This window comes from Homo sapiens, chromosome 2 (genome assembly GCF_000001405.40).
Source record: "Homo sapiens chromosome 2, GRCh38.p14 Primary Assembly".
Taxonomy (NCBI): Eukaryota; Metazoa; Chordata; class Mammalia; order Primates; family Hominidae; genus Homo; species Homo sapiens.
Window position 1 is genome coordinate 240,701,800 of NC_000002.12, and position 17,923 is coordinate 240,719,722.

Genomic DNA, 17,923 nt, shown 5'->3' on the forward strand with positions numbered 1-17,923 from the left:
AGGTGCGGGTGTGGCCCTGGAAGTGGCGCAGGCTCCGGGCTTGGGCTCTCTGGCGAGGCCATCTTGTACCAGGAGAAGGTGGACTCCAGGACGCGGGCCGGGTCCCGCAGGGTGGTGAAGGCGGTGTCTCCGGGCAGGACCCGCCACACCTGTTGGGGAAGGGCCTGTGTGCCTAGGAGGGCTGCTGGCTCTGGGGACGCTCCAAGGGCTCCAAGGCAAGCAACTGGGAGTGAGTACCCTCCACCCAGCCCCCCAGCCCCCTCTGCAATGGGACGGGATCCACCGGGCTTTGCCTCGGAGGGACCTGAGTGGGCTGTGGAGGTCGCCTCCAGTGGCATCCTCGCAAAGGCGGTTAAATTATTGGAGAGGGCTGCAGGGTCCCAGGGTCTGGGGAATAGGGACCAAAGCTGGCCATGTCCAGGGTGTCAGCCATTCCCCTCTGTAGGCACCAGAGGCCGCTTCCTCTCCACAGTGGCCCTGGGTCAGGATCTGCCGCAATGGCCATGCCCTGCCTGGCCTCTTGCTCCCAGCCCCCTACCCTCTCGTAGAGCCTCCTCAGCTACTCAGGAGACCCTTCCTCTCCCTCCCTAGGACCTCCCTCCTCCCACCCCTCTGACCTCCACACAAAGTGTTCTCACCCAACCCCGTGGCACTCCTACCTGCCACCATGGTCACCACCTCACTGCTCTCCTGGTCACTGTGGTCACCTCCACACTGCACTCCCCCCATCTCCATGGTCACCTCCCCACTGCACTCTCCCGTCACCATCGTCACCGCCACAGTGCACTCCCCCCACCACCATGGTTACCTCCCCCGTCACCATCGTCACCACCCCAATACACTCCCCCCATCTCCATGGTCACCTCCCCACTGCCTCCTTGCCATGGCCGGGGGTGCCCTGCAGAAGCCGTGAACTCTGCAGCTCCCAACTGAACTCGGAGTCCCCATGTCCCCCACCCCAGTCACCACGAGACCAAGTCTGTCTTATGTCCTCAGGCTCAGGACTGCCACCCAGGCAGCCAGGCCAGACACGTGGGGGTCACACTCACCCCTGCCCTCCCCTGAAATCTCACCACCCCTAGGGTCCTCCCTGACCTTGTTCCCTCTGGCGGCCCAAGCCCAGGCCGCCCCCTGTCTCCCACGTTCCCGCATTCCCTCCTAATTGGTCACCCCTCCAGTCTTGCCCCTCTTGTCCAGCCCCATCTAAGTCACACTGAAATCTCACTGTGCCCGTTTTCCTCAAGACCCTCCTTGGCTCCCCGAAACCCAGGGGCTGAAGTCCAGGCTTTCAGACAGGGTCTGCAGGGTGACTGCCAGGGGACCTCAGTACATCTCTGAGTGTCCACTTCTCATGGCTGAAATGACCTGGGTTCCAGGGGATGTCATCAGTGAGCCCACTTAGCTGCTGCCTCAGCCGGGCAGGTTGCTGGGAAGTTGCCTCCTCAGAGGGGTTAGACCCAGCCTTGCTACCGAGCCTCATATCTGCCTCACCTGGGCAGACCGACCCTCTTATCAGGGCCCACACCTGCCCTGTGTTGGTGTCTTTAAGTGTAACCTTTACAGCTTTTGGAGACACTGTGATCTAGCTAAAGGAGTGACTCCCAAATGGTGGAACTGTGCATGAGGGAGAGAGGGATTTGGAGAGCAGTGCTTCCTAGGCAGGGGCTGGCCTCCAGGAGGGCTGAGTGCCCATGATTCATATGGAACACCCGCAGGCTCCTCCAGCTCGGGAGATCAGCAGCACAGACTTTGGGGTGGAAAAGCAGGCAGAGGGGTCAGGCGCATGCCTGCCTGGGCAAATATTGGCTTGTGGCCTTGCTTTCCTGGGCTGGGAGCCCATAAGGCACAGGTGGCCCTCAGAGAGGCCCTGGGGAAGGTCGTGCTTCTCCTGGGGGATCCCCACCAGGGTGGGCTGCAGGATGGGGACCCTGTTCGGCACCTGCTGGGGATGGATACACGGGGCATCCTGGTCTCCAGGCAACAGCTGAGGGAGGAGGGGAGCCTGCTTGGAGGAGGAGGCTGGCGATAACACTGACCTGGCCACCGCGCAAGAGGGGCAGGGCTCAGGGGCCAGGGATGGGGCCTACCCTCTGCTGAAGCCCCCAGATACAGCACCTCAGCTTTCTCTGCCCCACCCAACCCTCAGCTCCCTGGGATGGGTCTCACCTGACCATTGTGAGGCAGGAAGTGAGGCTCTGAGACACAGAGGGTTTTGCTCCGGGTCACTCAGCAGTGAAGTCGGCCGGTGCTGAGGGTTCTAGGAGGGGCTGTTTCCTCCCTGTCCTTGGCCCTCAGGACACCATCTTCCCCGTTCCTTCCATGCCTTGGCCCCAGACCTCCAGCAGTCTGTCCAGTGCAGCGGGTGGGGAGGAGGGGCTGGCCTGTGCTCATCGGGGTGCCCATGCTGCAGCTCCCTGGGTGTCTGAGGTTTGCTCAGTGACCACTGTGGCCACTCAGGTGGCTCCAGCAGGTCCTGTCCAGCCAGAGAGCAGAGTCGTCCCACCACGGGGGGTGTGGCTAGCGGGGGCCCTTCTGTGAGGTTCGGCCAGACCCCACTGCACCTCCCTCCACAAGCCCTTGACCATGCCTCTCTGACCCCCTCTCCCAACCCTCCCACCCTGACCCTTCACTTCTCCCCACTCCCTCCCACTGTGCCCCAACCCCAGCCCTCTAACTCACCCCTCTCTCCCTGACACCCTCCAGAACTCTCTGTGCATGAGGGAGTGCCCCCCAAACAAGCCCCTCCCCAGCCCAGCCCCCCTGATTCCTCCTCTTTAGATCCTCACCACCTACACCCTGTTTCTGGGGAGTTTTCCCATCAGCTGGGTCTGCCAAGGACTGTGACACTGGGGTCTGTGTGGGGCCGTGGCGACTTCTGTGAGAAACACCGAGCTGCCCCCAGGCGGCTCTGCCATGTGGCGCTCCCGCCGGACGCAGGCGCGGGGCTGCCGCTGCTCCCGGGCCTCCATGTCGTCAGTCAGGTGGGTGCCCCACATTCCCGTGGGTGTGCAGAGGCTTCTCACCGCGGCTTCAGTCCGCAGCTCCCTCACAACACGCGGTGCAGAGCATCTTTCCTGTGCTTTCTGCTCTCTGTGTGTTTTCTTTGATGAGGTTTGTTTGGATTTTTTACCTCCTTGCTCTCTGTGTGTTTTCTTTGATGAGGTTTGTTTGGATTTTTTACCTCCTTTTTAATTGAGCTCTTTGTTTTCTTGTTGCTGAATTTTAAGCATTCTTCCTATATTTGGATGCCAGTCCTTTGTCCGGTGTGTATTTTGCAAAGATTTTCCTCCACGTCTGTGGCTTTCCTTACATTCCCTTTGCAGAGCAAACCATTTTAAATTTTATACAGTCCATCTTACTGATTTTCTCTTTTATGGATCATGCTTTTGGTGTTTTATCTAAATAATTCAGAGCCTAACCGAAGATCACCCAGATTTTTTCCAATGTTTTCTTCTAACGGTTTTGTAGTTTTGCGTTTTACGTTTAGGTCTGGGATTCCTTTTGGCTGAACCTCTGTAGAAGGTGGGAGGTCTGTGACCACATCCTTCTGGTGCTTTGTGTGTGCCTCCTTCTGCATGTGGGCATCCGTTTGTCGGAGCACCTTCTGCTGGAAAGACTCCCCGTCTCCACTCACTTGCCTTTGCTCCTTTGGACCAGTTGGCGCCATTGGTGTGGGTCTCCTCTGGGCTCCCTATTACTCTGTTTGGTGCACCGATAGGACCAGTCTTGTGAATCCTGCATGATCCTGACTATGTAAGCCTTACAGTAAGTCAGGAAGTCAGGTCATGTGAGTCCTCCAACTTTGTTCCTCAGTATTGTGTGCCAGCTGACGGATCACAGGCTTCTTGATTTTGAGAGGAGAGCTTCATTTCTTACGAAGGGTTGCAGCCTGCAGCCTGGCCATCGCAGGCTGGGAAGCATAGCCTCTGGCAGAAACTGGAAAAAGGCACTTTAACAGTGGGAAGTGGGAGAGGAATCTATGCTGAACAGGTTGTCTACATACACATATTGAACAGAATTTAGGAGGAGCTATGAATATTCATGAAGCGGGAAGCACACGCACACATAGTAAGCACACATGCCTGCTACATGCATGTTCCCTTTGGGGCAGAGACTTTCATTTCAGTGCATTAATAGTAGGCCCCAGCCAGGAGCAGTGGCTCGCGCCTGTAATCCCAGCACTTTGGGAGGCTGAGGCGGGTGGATCACCTGAGGTCAGGAGTTCGAGACCAGCATGGCCAACATGATGAAACCCCATCTCTACTAAAAATACAAAAATTAGCCGAGTGTGGTGGCACATGCCTGTAATCCCAGCTACTTGGGAGGCTGAGGCAGGAGAATCACTTGAACCCAGGAGGCGGAGGTTGCAGTGAGCCGAGATCACACCGTTGCACTCCAGCCTAGGCAATAAGAGCGAAACTCTGTCTCAAAAAAAAAAAAAAAAGAAAAAGAAAATGTAGGCCCCTGTATGTCAAGAGGTGACACAGAGGACACACGGCCAGACCAGTCCATGGTCCGTGGTCTCTTACTGGGAAGAGATGCTAGTTGGTTGTTGTATTGAAACCAGAAAAAGGGATCAGGGGTCTGGCAAGTCTTTCAAAAGGGCTGGTTTCTGTTCCCCAATTAGGAAAGAACGTCCAGTGGCAGTTGGTGAGGAAGAGGGTATAACAAGGTGTGTCTGGCCTCCTGTCCCATCGTGGCCGGGAACTCAGCTTTCAAGGTTTCTCTTGGGTCCCCTTGGCCAAGAAGGGATCTGTTCAGTCAGTTGGAGGCCTTACAACATGATTTTTGTTTCTCATGTGTTGGCTATTCTATGTCTTTCCCCTCTGCGTATAAACTTCAGAATCAGTGTGTCAGTATCTGATTAGCTTGCTGGGATTTTGACTGGGAATGCATTGAATCTATAGCACCAACTAGGAAAAACTGACATCTTAACAACACTGAATCTTCCAATCCGTAAGCACAGAATGTCTCTCCATTCCTTTAGATGTTCTTCGATTCTTTTCAGAAATGTTGTAGTTTTCTACATACAGATCCTCTACATATTTTATTTGATTTATACTTACTTATTTCTGTTTCTTTTTTAATGCTATTATAAAAGGCATTTTTATTTAAAATTTCAATGATTTATTGCTGGTTTATAGGAAAGCAATACACAATAGTTATAAATTATTTAACTTTTGTGTATTAATTTGTATCTTGTGGCCTTGCTGTACTCACTTCCTAGTTCCAGGAGTTTTTTTTCTTTTTTTGTCAATTCTTTGGCATTTTTTACACAGAAAACTCTATCGTCTGCAAAGAAAGATACTTCCATTTCTTCCTTCCCAGCCTGTATACCTCTTATTCCCTTTCCTTGTCTGGTTGCACTTAGAATTTCCAGTAGGATGCGGAAAGGAGTGCTGAAAGGGAACACCATCACCCTCCCTCAGTCTAAGCGGGGGAGCTGCCAGTTTCGGGCGTTAAGTGTGATGCCAGCTGCGGGATTTTGTATATGTTCTTCACCAAGCTGGGGAAATTCCCATCTCTTTCTCGTTTTTCCTTCTCACCTCCACCCCAGAGTCCTTTGCTGTGGAGGAAGTTCTCGGCATGTTTTGAGATGATTACTCTGCCCCTCCCCCTGATGGGAACATGAGGGGATTTTTCTTTGCTCTTCTCTCTGAGAACTTGGTGGGGTTCATGGTAGTAAAACCCACGAGCACATGAGCGTCCCCCCAGTCTGGGGTGCAGGACCCTCTCTCTCTCCAGCTGGTCCACACACAGCCTCCAGCAATTCACTAGAACTGCCATCTAGGGCCTCCTGCCAGCAGCGGCTCCAGTGGCTTTTGCTCCAGGGCGCCGGTCTCCGCTGAGACTCTGTGCTGTCTCTTCAGAGTTTGGGGTTGCAGTATGCCCTGCAAGCTCAAAGCTTTGATCGGTGAAAGAAAACACTGATTTTCAGGTTTGTCAGCTTTTCTTGCTGTAAGGATGAGCTTCGTGACTGCCAAGCTCTTTACGCACCAAAGGCACTCACCTAATGTTGTTAACTTTTTAAAAATTGAGGATCCACATGAGGTCTCTTAAATTTCTTTTAACCTATTTCCCTCACCTTCTCATCTTGTAATTTATCTGTTGAAGAGCAGAGGTCGTTTGTGAGTGAAGTCTCCCACGTCTGGGTTTCGATGCAGGCATCCCGCAGTGTCTGTCGGCATAGCCTGTCTCCCCCGTGTTTCTTACAGCCGGATCTGGACACGTGATCAGCTTCAGTGCCAGGTTTTTGTAAACCACCCCTCAGGTGGGCTTGTGCCATTCCATCCAGAGGTAGATTTTGCCCTGCTGTGTCTTTGGTGATGTCACTGCCTAGCCGCATTCATTCATTCATTTGCTCGTGTGTTGGGGATTACACAGCCATGGGGTTTTAGGATGACCTTCTCTCTTCCTTTATAGGAAAAATACTTCTGCAAAGACAAACCTCTGCTCCTTGGCTACCTGGCTATGCTTAGGTACAGTTTCTAAGGGAAGACAGGATAATGCTTGTTTCTTTTTCCTGATTTACTTGTTTCCGAAATGAGTTGCATCCTCTGATGGTTACCAGTGAGCTATTTTGAACTATTTTTTTTTTACTATTTTTTAATTGTCATTATAAACCAATAGATGTAATCATATTACATGTTGTATTCGTTTGTTTTCATGTTGCTGATAAAGACATACCCGTGACTGACCAATTTACAAAAGAAAGAAGTTTATTGGACTTACAGCTCCACATGGCTGGGGAGGCCTCACAATCGTGGCAGAAGGCAAGGAGGAGCTAGTCACATCTTACGTGGATGGCAGCAGGCAAAAAGAGAGGTTGTGTAGGGCAACTCCCATGTTTTAAAACCATCAGATCTCGTGAGACCCATTCACTATCACGAGAACAGCGCAGGAAAGACCCGCCCCCATTATTCAGTCATCTCCCACTGGGTCCCTCCCATGACACATGGGAATCATGGGAGCTACAAGATGAGATCTGGGTGGGCACACAGGGCCAAACCATATCACATGTGTTCCAGTCATCACATTTATTAGCCTTACTGATGTTCAAAGTGTCCCAATCTTAGGCCAGTGGGAGCCTCTAAGTTGGATCCTGGGTCCTTTTGACACAACTCTTGAAGTCTGACAATGACTTTGGGTCCTATTGGCAAAACTCTTAGAGTGTGATAATGTTTTTGTTGAAAAGATTTTCATGATAATCTTGTGCAATTCTCATCCCCGCTCTGGAACTAGTGATTTCTCCCAGTGTTAGAGAGAAGTTCTATTTAGACAATACAATCTCGGTTCTAGGAATGTGTCACTGTTAAGGAGCTGGTTGTTGTTTCCAGGCCTTTTCAATAGATGGAACTAGGAAATGTGTATTTTTTAAAGAAAAATGAAATCTATCATATCTTCATATTGACCCTTCAGATTCAAATTCAGGCTATTTGTGGTTTTCCCATGGATTCTTTTGGGATTTCCAGATATGTAATTCTATCATCTGCAAAAGAGATAATTTTTACATTTCCTTCTCTGTTTTTATCCCTCTGATTACTTTCTCTTGTGTAAAGAAATTAGCTAGTAATTCAAAACGCCATTGAATAGTGGTGATGCTAGCATGCCGTTCTGCTCTGTTCCTAGCTTTTCTGCATCTGTGGTGATGACCATTTTTTCTTAGCTCTATTGATATGATGGATTTTATTAATAGATTTCTTGATATGAAGTGACCTCTTCATTCCCAGAGTAAACTCTACATGGTCATATCATGCGAGAGAGGTTAATTATTTGATGACATAAATGAAATCACTATTAGAGATAAGTGAAATGAATGGGAAAGGAGTTTCAAAGTGTGTTCTTGTATCATGAAGTCCTCAAGGTCATCCCTGGTTCAGAGACTTTCTGGAAGGATGCACAGGATCTAGCATACAGTGGTGCCATGGCTGAGACTGGTTACGGCAAAAGGCTCTGAAACCACATCTGTGAACGGAAAAAGCATGGGGTGCAAAAGGCATGGGGCGTGGTGTGAAGAAAACCAGGCTCGTGCTTCCAAGGCCTCTCTCCCCACAGAGTAACACAGGACGTGTTTCATTCCCAGCAACGCTGCATGGCCGTCCATATTAAGGGCTCCCCGTCGGGGAGCTCAGTAGAGACTCAGTGCCTGTGGTGTTGACCAGAAGCTGGCCATGCCCTGCCTGGAACACACCAAACTCCAGACTCAGAAGGAAAGTGCATCGAGGGCTATAGTATTTGTACAGTCTGGGCACAGTGAACCCTCATTGTCATTCAGGGAACAGTTCAAGTGCCAAGTTCCCAGAAGCCGTCTGAGGCTCCACCTCACAGCAGACATTTAAAGAATAGCAGGTGCAAGCCTGTTGGGCTAATTCTTTTCTGCAAAATGCCCAAGATTAGAAATTTTGAAAAATAAACTATATTTGACTTTAAAAGATATTCAACATAATTTTATAAGGCAAAATAAAATATTATCAAAACAGAAAAATTACAAAGTTAGAAAATTAAAACATATGACAAAGGAATGAGCTATCTGATATATGTGTAACTGACTGCAAATTAAGAGGAAAATTTGGCCAGAGACATAATAGGCAAGTCACAAAAGAAATAAAAATAATCTGGCTGGGCGCGGTGGCTCACGCCTGTAATCCCAGCACTTTGGGAGGCCAAGGTGGGTGGGTCACTTGAGGTCAGGAGTTCAAGACCATCCTGGCCAACACGGTGAAACTCTGTCTCTACTAAAAATCCAAAAAATAGCCAGGTGAGGGGGCAGGCACCTGTAATCCCAGTTACTCGGGAAGCTGAGGCAGGAGAATCACTTAAACCCTGGAGGCGGAGGTTGCAGTGAGCTGAGATTGCACCACTACACTCCAGCCTGGGCGGCAGAGTGAGACTCCATCTCAGAAAAAAAAAAAAAAAAAAAAAAAAAAAAATATATATATATATATATATATATATATATATAAAACACATGAAAATAATTTAGCAACACTAATAAATAAAATTGAAAAATGATAAGGTGCCACTTACCACCTGCCAAAGGGGGAGGACTAAAAAGACTCAGACATGCAGTGAGACGATGATGGGCTTTATGTTCAGAAGCCGTGTGTGTGTGTGCGCACATGTGTGCACACGCGTGCCACACACACACACACACACACACACGTAAGATGCACATATGAATTTATATAAACTCCCACACAGTAATTCCAGCTAGGACTTTGTCCCCAAAAGTAGGATAAGAGCATGGTTTCATGTGTAAGGACCCATGTCGCTCTGTTGTTTACTGTACTGGAAAGTACAGTTTGGAAGAATCAGGAAAGCACCAATTCACTCCACACACGAGAGGAGGAAGGTGTGGAGTGCAGAGCAGGCAGGAAGCTGGGGGGTGCTCTCAGGCCAGGTCCTGGAAGCCCACACTGCGGGGAAGAGGGGCAGCTCATGGGAATTCTTCTTGGGAAATACCATTTGCTGTGCAGTGGGATCCTCTGACACCCCACACACCTATAAAGTCAAGATCTCCTGGCTGGGGGCCTGGCGGGCTCCAGGTGGTGGTTGGTAGGGAGAGGAGAAGGCCACGGGGGTGAGGGGTTAAGTCCCTGCTTCCTGCGTCCTGGACTGTAGACAGGACATGCCTGCGCCCCTCTGGCCCTGGGTCCAGTTGGGTCTAACTGGCCAATGGGTGTCACCCCAGTAGGATGAGGAATCTGCTGGATCCTGTCTGGGTGTCCCCAAGGCCGGGGCTCAGCTCCCCAGAGACACAACGCGTCCAATGGACACGTGAGCCTCCAGACACCCACACTGTGGCTTGGTCTGCTCCAGGCTCCACGGAGCCAGCCTTAAGGTCTTGGGGAGAGGAGAGCACAGGCTGGATGGGCCAGTGAGGTTCAGTCCAGGGTTCTGGAACCATCTCAGGGTCTGGGCCTCAGTTTCAGGATCTGCCGCACAGGCAGGAGCTAGGGAGCCTCCCCAGGGCCTGGACTCAGCATTCAGACTCCAGCTCACAGGGGACACAGGAGGGGCCCTGGGCCAAGTCAGGCTTTTGGGGCAGCAGCAGGAGGTGTCAAGATGGGCAGGAGGCTGGAGCAGAAGGGAGCCAGGTGCATTACGGGCCACCTCTCCCTGGGGACTGGGTTGGGTTATCACTGGCTGTCTGCACAGGGGTGGACTCTGTCCTCAAGGCTGGGGCTTCCAGGCTTTTCTGCCCTCTACACATCCTGGAGGCTGTGAAAGCTTTAGTCGACACCCCTAAAGGACCGCCCCCAGTGCAGGAGTGACAGTGGCCATCTGCTGAGTTAAGACGTGAGTCTGTCTGTCCGTGTGAGTCCACTGTGCCACCAGCCCTCGCTGGACGGCAGCAGAGACTTGCAGGCATCAAAAGGGTCTGAATGGCTCCCAGGCCTCAGAGAACCACCAGCCAGGGCTGCACTGAGGCACCAACATGGACAGAAAGACCATCCCAGCCAGGAGAGAGTGCAGCTGGGGAGTGTGAACCAGGCCCCACAGGGCACAGGATGACCGTGCCCAGCTTAGCACTGCCCTGGACACAGAAGTGGTCCCAGGTCCCAGAGCCCGGTCACACCGCTGGTGGAAGGCACCAACCATGAAAGCCCAGCGCCACTCAGCCCACACTCCTGGTTCTACTCCCTCGTCTTCCAGAACCTTCGGACGATGGGTGTCATCCCTGGGGCCCCAAGAACAAGGTCAGGTGGAAGCAGAGGTAGCGACAGGTTTCTCCTTAACACTGGAAGGCACAGCCAATTGTTACTTAATGTTTTGTTAGTTTCATTCATTGTTTTAAAAAACAGAAACCTTCTACAGCACTTAGTCTGTGTCAGGCCCCGTCCTACGCCTTTTCCAAAGCTAACTCATTTATCCTCCTCAACCAGTGAGGAGGCCGCTATGATTCTGCCCAGTCACTGAATTCTGGTTTGATTTGCTTCTCACTCTTAATTTTTAAAGAATTACACGGGTAACACAAATTCATTGTAGAGAAACTAGAAAATCCGATGAATAAAAAGGTTTTTTCTTTATTTTTCATTTTAAAATAATGGTAGGCTCACAGGAAGTTATAAAAAAAAAAAAACAGCACAGAGAGGAACTGTGTGCGCCCTTCACCCAGCTGGCAAAAAGTTCTGTCTATAATCTCAGGACTGGAAGACTACGACCTCTCAGACAGGAGGAGTCCACACAGGTTGAACGGTATCTATGTCAGCCCTGACACAGCCCCTCCCACCTGTAGCCAGAGGGTGGCCCCACACAAGGCCCCGGAGCCCCCGTGCCAGCCAGTAGGGTCCACCTCCCAGGCCCACTGAGAGGCGTTGCCTTCCGAGCAGGTGCCACCCTCACTGAATGTCCTGGAGATGGCTGTCGCCTGTGACAAAGCCACTCACCTCTGGAGGGCCTGGGGGCTCCTAAGGACTGGGGGCCCTGCCCAGAGTCCCCCAAAGTGCAAGGCTGTCACCCCATCCTCCCATCGGCCATCAGTGTGACGCTGGTCCACAAACTCCTGCCATACCTTGGACAAGACTAAGGCCCTCGTGTGCAATGGTGCGGCCTCTGGAACTCCAGGAGGCTCTGAGGATCTGGGCCCAGGCGCAGACCCCATGGACTAGAGACTCTGAAGGGTCCAGGCCTGAGGCTGCCTGGGATGGGTGCAGTGGCCTGGTATGAGGGTGGTAGGTGCTGTGTCCCTGGGGAGGTGCCTGGGGCTGGTTCACAGGGGTGCAACCGGTCACGGGAGGCAGGTGGAGGTTGATCCTCCAAGACCAGCACCCTGTGTACACTCAGTCTTCGACACCTTCCCCACCACCTCCCCATGCCCACCTCGAGAGCCAGCCCCTCCCTGCCTCATCACTGGGAGAGGGGTACTGTCTCTGGACCACGCTGGATGCATGCACCTACAGCCATTTTCCGGGGCCCTGCAACACACGTAACACGCAAATAAAGCCACAGCAGAGCCCATGGGACTGTGTTGAGTAAGAGCCACATTTATTTCTTAATTGGACAGAGCCTCAAGTGCACGCACAGTACAGGAGCCTAGGGCTAACACTCGGGTGTAAGACATCGGGACAGGCGTCGTGACGTCGGGACGGCAGCTATGACATGGGGTCTGGGGTGTGCCCACAGCAATCACATATGTACAAGCCAGGGACGCGGCCTCTGAGCCACAGGGGAACCAGGGGACGGACTAACTACAGGAAGCACAGGCCCAGGGAGAAACGCAGGTCGCCACAGCTGCTGTCCGTCTGGGGGACCGCACGGCCCGGCACCGGGGGTAAGGGAGTGTGCCTTCCGTGGTCCCCACATGGGTGAGGCTGGCATAGGACCAGTGCAGCAGCACAGTAAACACCTGTGACATCAGCCCCACCAGGGCCCCAGGTGCTGGGGACTCCAGGGACCAGGGTTGACAGGGAGGGCCACCTCATCACAGCCGTCCTGGGTGGGGGAGTTTGTGCCTGTGCAGCCGGTGGATGAAACATTGGCATCTTCTCAGCGATGACTCCCAGTGGGAGGCCTTGGACTTGGCACCCCTAGGCACTGGCCGTGTCCCATCAGATCCCAAGTGCTGGTCGGCCTGGAGCCCGGCATCCCCATCTATCTGGAGCCGCAGCGGAAGGAGCTCCCCCTTTCTGGTGGAGGATGGCTGCCCCCAAACCAAAACAAGCCCCCAGACTCGGCAGTATAAAGCATTAAATGAAACCATCTGAGGGAGACGGCTTTCCAGATCTGTCTCACCTCCCCCACTTAGCAGGAAGCAGCAGCCACCCTGGGCCTGGCTGTCTCCCAAGCACCGCACCCCATGAGCACCTCCACACCAGCCCTCCACCTCACAGATGTGGAAACCGACTCCTGGGGAGCTCAAGGAAGGCAGCTAACGTGGTCCCTAGGTGGTTTCTGGCAGAGCGAACTTTTCAAGAAGCCAGGTGTCCTGACTCAGGCGGCCTCCTCTCACCATCAACTCTGAGTTTCTGGGTCCTGGCTTAGGCACTCCTCACTAGAGCAGGCCCGGAAGGAGGGAGTCGGCGGAGGCTGCAGTGTGGCTCTGGGTCCTAGCCAAGGCCAACACGGCACCTGGCTGAGAGGACACAGCCAGGCAGTCTCCATGGCAGTGGAGGCTTCTGAATTTAGGCAGCTCCCAGGCACCTCCACTCAGCCCACCCACGCCGCGAGTGCTCTGCAGGTTGGCTGGCCTCAGACACCTGCGACCTGGGGGGTGCGCCCAGACCCTTTGGAGGCCACAGCCTCAGGCTGGCTGACCTGAGTTGGCCGTGGCAGGGCCTGTGCCTCCTCTAGCCTGCCTGGGGCCCGTGGGGCTCCCCCTCATCTCAGACCAGCGTGTCCTGCCCTGCCTCTCCTTCCTGCCTCCAGGCAGCGCTGGATGCCGGAGCAGGTGCTTCTGCAAGAAGCTGTTCTGCATCCTCTCCTTGCTGCATCTTGGTCCACTGCCTCCAGAGGTCACCCATGGGGAGCACAGGCCACCTGGCTTCTGAATTTTATTTTGGGATGTGAATCCTCACCTGGGAGATTTCCAAAGAAAGCTGCTGTGTCCTGTGTCCTGCCTTCCCAGGCGTGGCTTCCCGAGCCCTGATTCTCCCTCACAGAACCCCCCCATCAGCCCCTGGGAGAGCCTCCCAGGCAGGGGATGAGGGTGGCGGTGGCCACACCGCACCTGAGCCCAGGTACGAAAAGGCGAGCCCACAGTCCCAGCTCCCAAACAGGCTGGCCCAGGCAGGCAGCCACAGAGACTGCAGCCAGCATGGGCCCTGGCCTGCCCTGCACACCACTCTCGGAGATGGAACTTCAGGGGCCCAAACAACCTTCCCAAAGGAAAACCTCATGCCAGAGCCTTCCCATGTGGTGTAGAAGGCCCGTGCTCCCCCACTCCTGAGCCGCTGTCTCTCCCCCAGGCATGGGATTGGGGTCTCTGAGGCTCATGTCAGCATCACGTGGGACAGCCTGGGAGGGTAGGGGCCTCAGAACCAGTGGGGTGCTGCGTTTCCCCCACTCCAGGAGGCAGGATCTGATGAAAGTGCTGGGCCCTAGGTCTGGAGCACCAGACCCGATGTAACTGCTCCCACGGGCCACGGCGGGAGAGGGGCTCTGTTGCTTGGCTACTGTCTTTCCTTGAGCTAAAAAGAGACCAAATCGACCTGTGGGTGTGGGTGGGGAGGGCCCTAAAACCTCCCTAGGCCTCTGGACATGACTCCTATGACCAGACTCTCAGCTTGGGGCTGACCCCCGTCCTGTCCTGGGTGGCCCTCGGACATTGGTGTCTGCAGAGGGGGTGAAATGGGACAAGAACAAAGGGACACCGCAGATGCAGCAGCGAAGAGCTCCTTGAAGACAATAACCACCAAGCCAGCCACCCTCCATTGCCGACCGACCAGGATACCCCCACCCCATGGGATTTTCTCAGTGGGACTCACAGAAACTCTCTGCCCTGGGAACAAAGAGAGGAAAGTCTTTGCAAGAAACCTGCTAATGGCAGCATTTCTTCCCAGAAGCTACCTTGACTCACTCCATTTCTCGCCGCAGCTGAAGAGGCTGCGCCACAGCCCTCGACACCTAGACCGTCGCCCTGAATTCCGATCTTCCCTGACTTCCTGGTCTCAACCCACCACCCTACCCTGATGGTCCGGAGACAGCACGCAGTCCCAGAGTCTGCACACTGGCAGGTGATCCCGACCCCGCTCCCTCCTGGTCCCCGCCCAGGACAGATCACAGCCTGGGTGCCGTCTGCCTCATCTCAGAGCCAGAGCCGAGTGTCACCCCTCACCCTTTCCTGGGGAAAGCTGCCGGAACTCTTCTTGGAGTCACTCCTCAGGTGGCCGCCCAGAAGAGATGTGCGTTCTCCCTCCCACCAGAGGAACTCACACCACCCTCCATGCCGCGCAGACTTCAGGCACCAAAGACACCCCCCCACTCTCCCACACATACACCCAGGACCCATGTGGCCATGGAGAAGCCTGGGGCCCAGGCGATACACCCGTGTGCTAGCCCCAAGGTGCCCCACTGGTCCAGACAGCTCCTCACTGCGGCCTTCCAAGGTGGCTGTCCCTGCCCTGCCTGTCCCTAGCAGGCTTGGGAGACACATGTGGGAACAAACAGGGTGGAGGTGGTTGGGGGTTCCATCTGAATATTACAGGGCTATGTGGAGGCATTAGAAATAAATACTTATAAATAGAACAAGTCTTATAGTTAATTTCCGAGTTGACTGTTTCAATGTCACTAACTAACGTATATTAATTATAAGTCTGTCTATGCTTAAAAAAATATTAGAACGGCAGCAAGAACCCCCGTAACCTGTGCCCTTGGCCCCCCCAGCCTCTCCCAACTTGTTCCACCAGAGCACATTCTGCAAGAAGAACTGACACGCACAGCCTCTGCTGGGAGCACAGCTGGTCGTGTGGCACAGGTCCCCGGGCCTGGCATGGGCGTCCCCTGGGGGGTCGACCCGGTCGTGGGCTGTCTGGCAGGAGAGGGGCTGGGCGGCAGGTGACAGGACAGACGAGGATGAGGGAGGGGATGGGCTGGGCCTGCCGGCTGTCACGGGAGGGCTCAGGTTCAGACCCGCATCTGGGCAGACCTCCTTCTGGAGAGCTTGGACCTGCAGAAGAGTTGGGAGAGGCGGCGTGGTCAGGCCAGGAACACCTGCAGGCCATATCCACCGTGCCCTGCACAGGCAGGCAGCCGTGAGGGGCAGCCACAGACCCCATGTCCCCGCTGGTTCCCTCACCACCTGGGGAAGGGACTGAATCTCTGCTTCTGGTGTGTAGGACTCAGCCCGCCCATCCCCTCCTGCACCCCGCTTTTCACATCCCTGCTGTGGGAGGGACCAGCTCCTTCCGCAGCCTGCCCAAGGGCACACGGTTTCCCCATGCCGAGGCCACCGGGTTAGGATGTAATTTTGAAAGTATGGCCTGGGATTTATCACTCCACAAGAAGCCACAACTCAGAGGGAGCATTAATAGCCCTAAGGGCATCCCCAGCCCACATAAGTGAGGGCAGGCCGCGCTGCCTTCCACTGGCCGCACTGCTTCCCCAGGCAGCCTTGCGGGCAGGACCCCTGGCAGAGCAACCGCACCCTGCGGCTGGCCCTACTGAATGGTCCCCGCCAGGAGGGGATTGAGGGCAGGACCCCTGGGAGAGCAGTCTTGTCCTGCAGCAGGGCCCTATCAAATGGTCCTGGCCAGGAGCCGGTTGAGGGCAGGACCCCCATGGCAGCAACCTCGCCCTGCAGGCGGCCCTACCGTATGGTCCCGGCCAGGAGGGGGTTGAAGGCGTACAGCCAGTCATGCATGTCCTTGTCGCTGGCGGCCTGCAGCAGGATGCCGCGGTGTTCCGTGCACACCGCGAATGTGTTGGGTGTCTGCAGAGGGAGGCAGCTGGTGAGGAGGTGCCAGGCTCCGTGGTCAGCACACCACCCTCCTGCTCCCCAGGGCCCAGGCAGGCAGGGGAGGGGCACTGCCAGGAAAGTCCCAGGGAGGGGACACGGAGGGGACAAAGAGGGGAAGGCTGACCCAGCCAGGGCTGTGACTGCCTTCTGGACGCATCTGCGGCCGGTGGTCCCAGGACACCCTCACCACTGCTATGCCTCCCCACGGGACGTGACTGCCCCTCATGGCCCCTGCTCCCTGGGACCCTGGCTGGGCTGCTGGTGCAGATGTGGGTTCACACCACCCACTCCCACCACAGGGAATCAAAAAACCATCTCGTAGACACTGGGGCCGCCTCCAGATGGCTCAGAGAAACTTCTCCTCCAGCCAGCCTGAAGGAGTCCAGGCTCCTGAACTTGTCCAGGGCCATTCCAGACGGAGGGGCTGGGCAGAGTGGGGGCAGGAGGGCTCCTCTGAGCCCTGTGGCTCGCCCATTCCTGCAGGGCTGGTGCCACCCACCTTGGGTGACTCCGGAGGAGGGGACATGGCTGTGGCCATCACACAGGAGAATACTAATGCTTGCCCTGACCGGAGTCCATCCCCACTAGCTGTCACCAGGAATATGCGCCTCATGGGCAGGCAGAGAGGCCTGGGGCAAGGACAGAGGATCCCTGAGGCTGAGTCCCTGAGCCCAGCCTCCGTGGAACAGGACGGAGTCTGGGGTGAGCAGATGGGCCTCCTGCTCTGACGCAGGGCTGCAGAGGATGGTGGCTCAGCTCCTGCCCTGCTAGGGTTCCTGGTGCCCGAGCCTGAGCCGGGCCCAGCCGCACCTTGAGCATAGCCTGCTGGTCCTCACTGTACTCCACCTGGGCAGTGGCCAGGTTGAGCACGAACCGCTCCACGGTGTCCTTGTCGCTGTTGTACATGTAGGCATAGGGGCGCCGCACCACCACGAAGCGCCTGGCCCAGCCTGACGTGTGCGGCTCCAGGAAGTGCAGGTACCCCTTCTTGGAAACGATCGGGCTGAAGGCAGAGAGAGCTGCTCGCTGGGGCCCTCGGTGGGGGCAGCGACTGACTCGGGCACTCACCATCTACCACCCAGAGCTGGGACGCAGCAGTGCCAACCACCTCCCCAGCCAGAAAGTGGGTCGAGGCATCGAAGGGCACCTGGCAGAACCCCAACCCAGCAGGCCGGAGACCAGACCACCAAGCCAGCTCTGGGCCTCAGTTTCCCCACCATAAAATGGAAAAACTTAAAGAAATAAGCTAAAGTTGCTGAAGGCTGTCACACTGTACCCAGTGACCACGAGTTCCCCACCTGGGCCTTGGCTCTGACCCCACCCACTCCCCTGTGCTCTGTGCTGGTTCCCAGCCTAGGCATGTGGGTCACAGGGCCCTGCCTGACCTCCCAGCATGGAGCTGTCCCTCCATGTGGGTCAGGGGCAGCCTGCCTGAACCTCCAGTATGGGCATCAGGCAACCTGTCTGTCTCCCCAAGTATGAGGGTCCCTGTGCCCCCAGTATGGGGAGCAGGGTGGCCTGCCTGTC

At 55.0% G+C, this 17,923-nt stretch overlaps 1 protein-coding gene across 28 annotated transcripts in view, besides 2 other annotated features; it reads right to left on the minus strand.

Annotated features, from left to right (window-relative positions):
- Positions 5,702-5,861: a silencer, noted in NCBI's record as "fragment chr2:241646918-241647077 (GRCh37/hg19 assembly coordinates)". NCBI's record gives its function as "represses an EF-1alpha promoter that drives an FKBP-Casp9 reporter gene in an ReSE screen in K562 erythroleukemia cells {active_cell/tissue: K562}" and the evidence as "EXISTENCE:reporter gene assay evidence [ECO:0000049][PMID:32094911]".
- Positions 10,115-10,922: an enhancer, noted in NCBI's record as "H3K4me1 hESC enhancer chr2:241651331-241652138 (GRCh37/hg19 assembly coordinates)". NCBI's record gives its function as "activates a minimal SCP1, AML or CMV promoter by ChIP-STARR-seq in primed H9 embryonic stem cells {active_cell/tissue: H9 hESC(primed)}" and the evidence as "EXISTENCE:reporter gene assay evidence [ECO:0000049][PMID:30033119]".
- Positions 11,968-17,923, minus strand: part of KIF1A (kinesin family member 1A) — a 107,637-nt gene continuing 101,681 nt past the window's right edge. For 27 of the 28 annotated variants that reach the window (NM_001379653.1, NM_001379650.1, NM_001379645.1 and 24 more), the window contains 3 exons: positions 17,207-17,399; positions 16,251-16,369; positions 11,968-15,607 (listed from right to left, as the gene is read on the minus strand). In NM_001379653.1, the coding sequence (NP_001366582.1) occupies positions 15,565-15,607; positions 16,251-16,369; positions 17,207-17,399 (355 nt within the window). In that variant the 3' untranslated portion in view covers positions 11,968-15,564. The remainder of the gene's footprint in view (positions 15,608-16,250; positions 16,370-17,206; positions 17,400-17,923) is intronic. The other variant, NM_001379641.1, reaches the window with a different exon arrangement.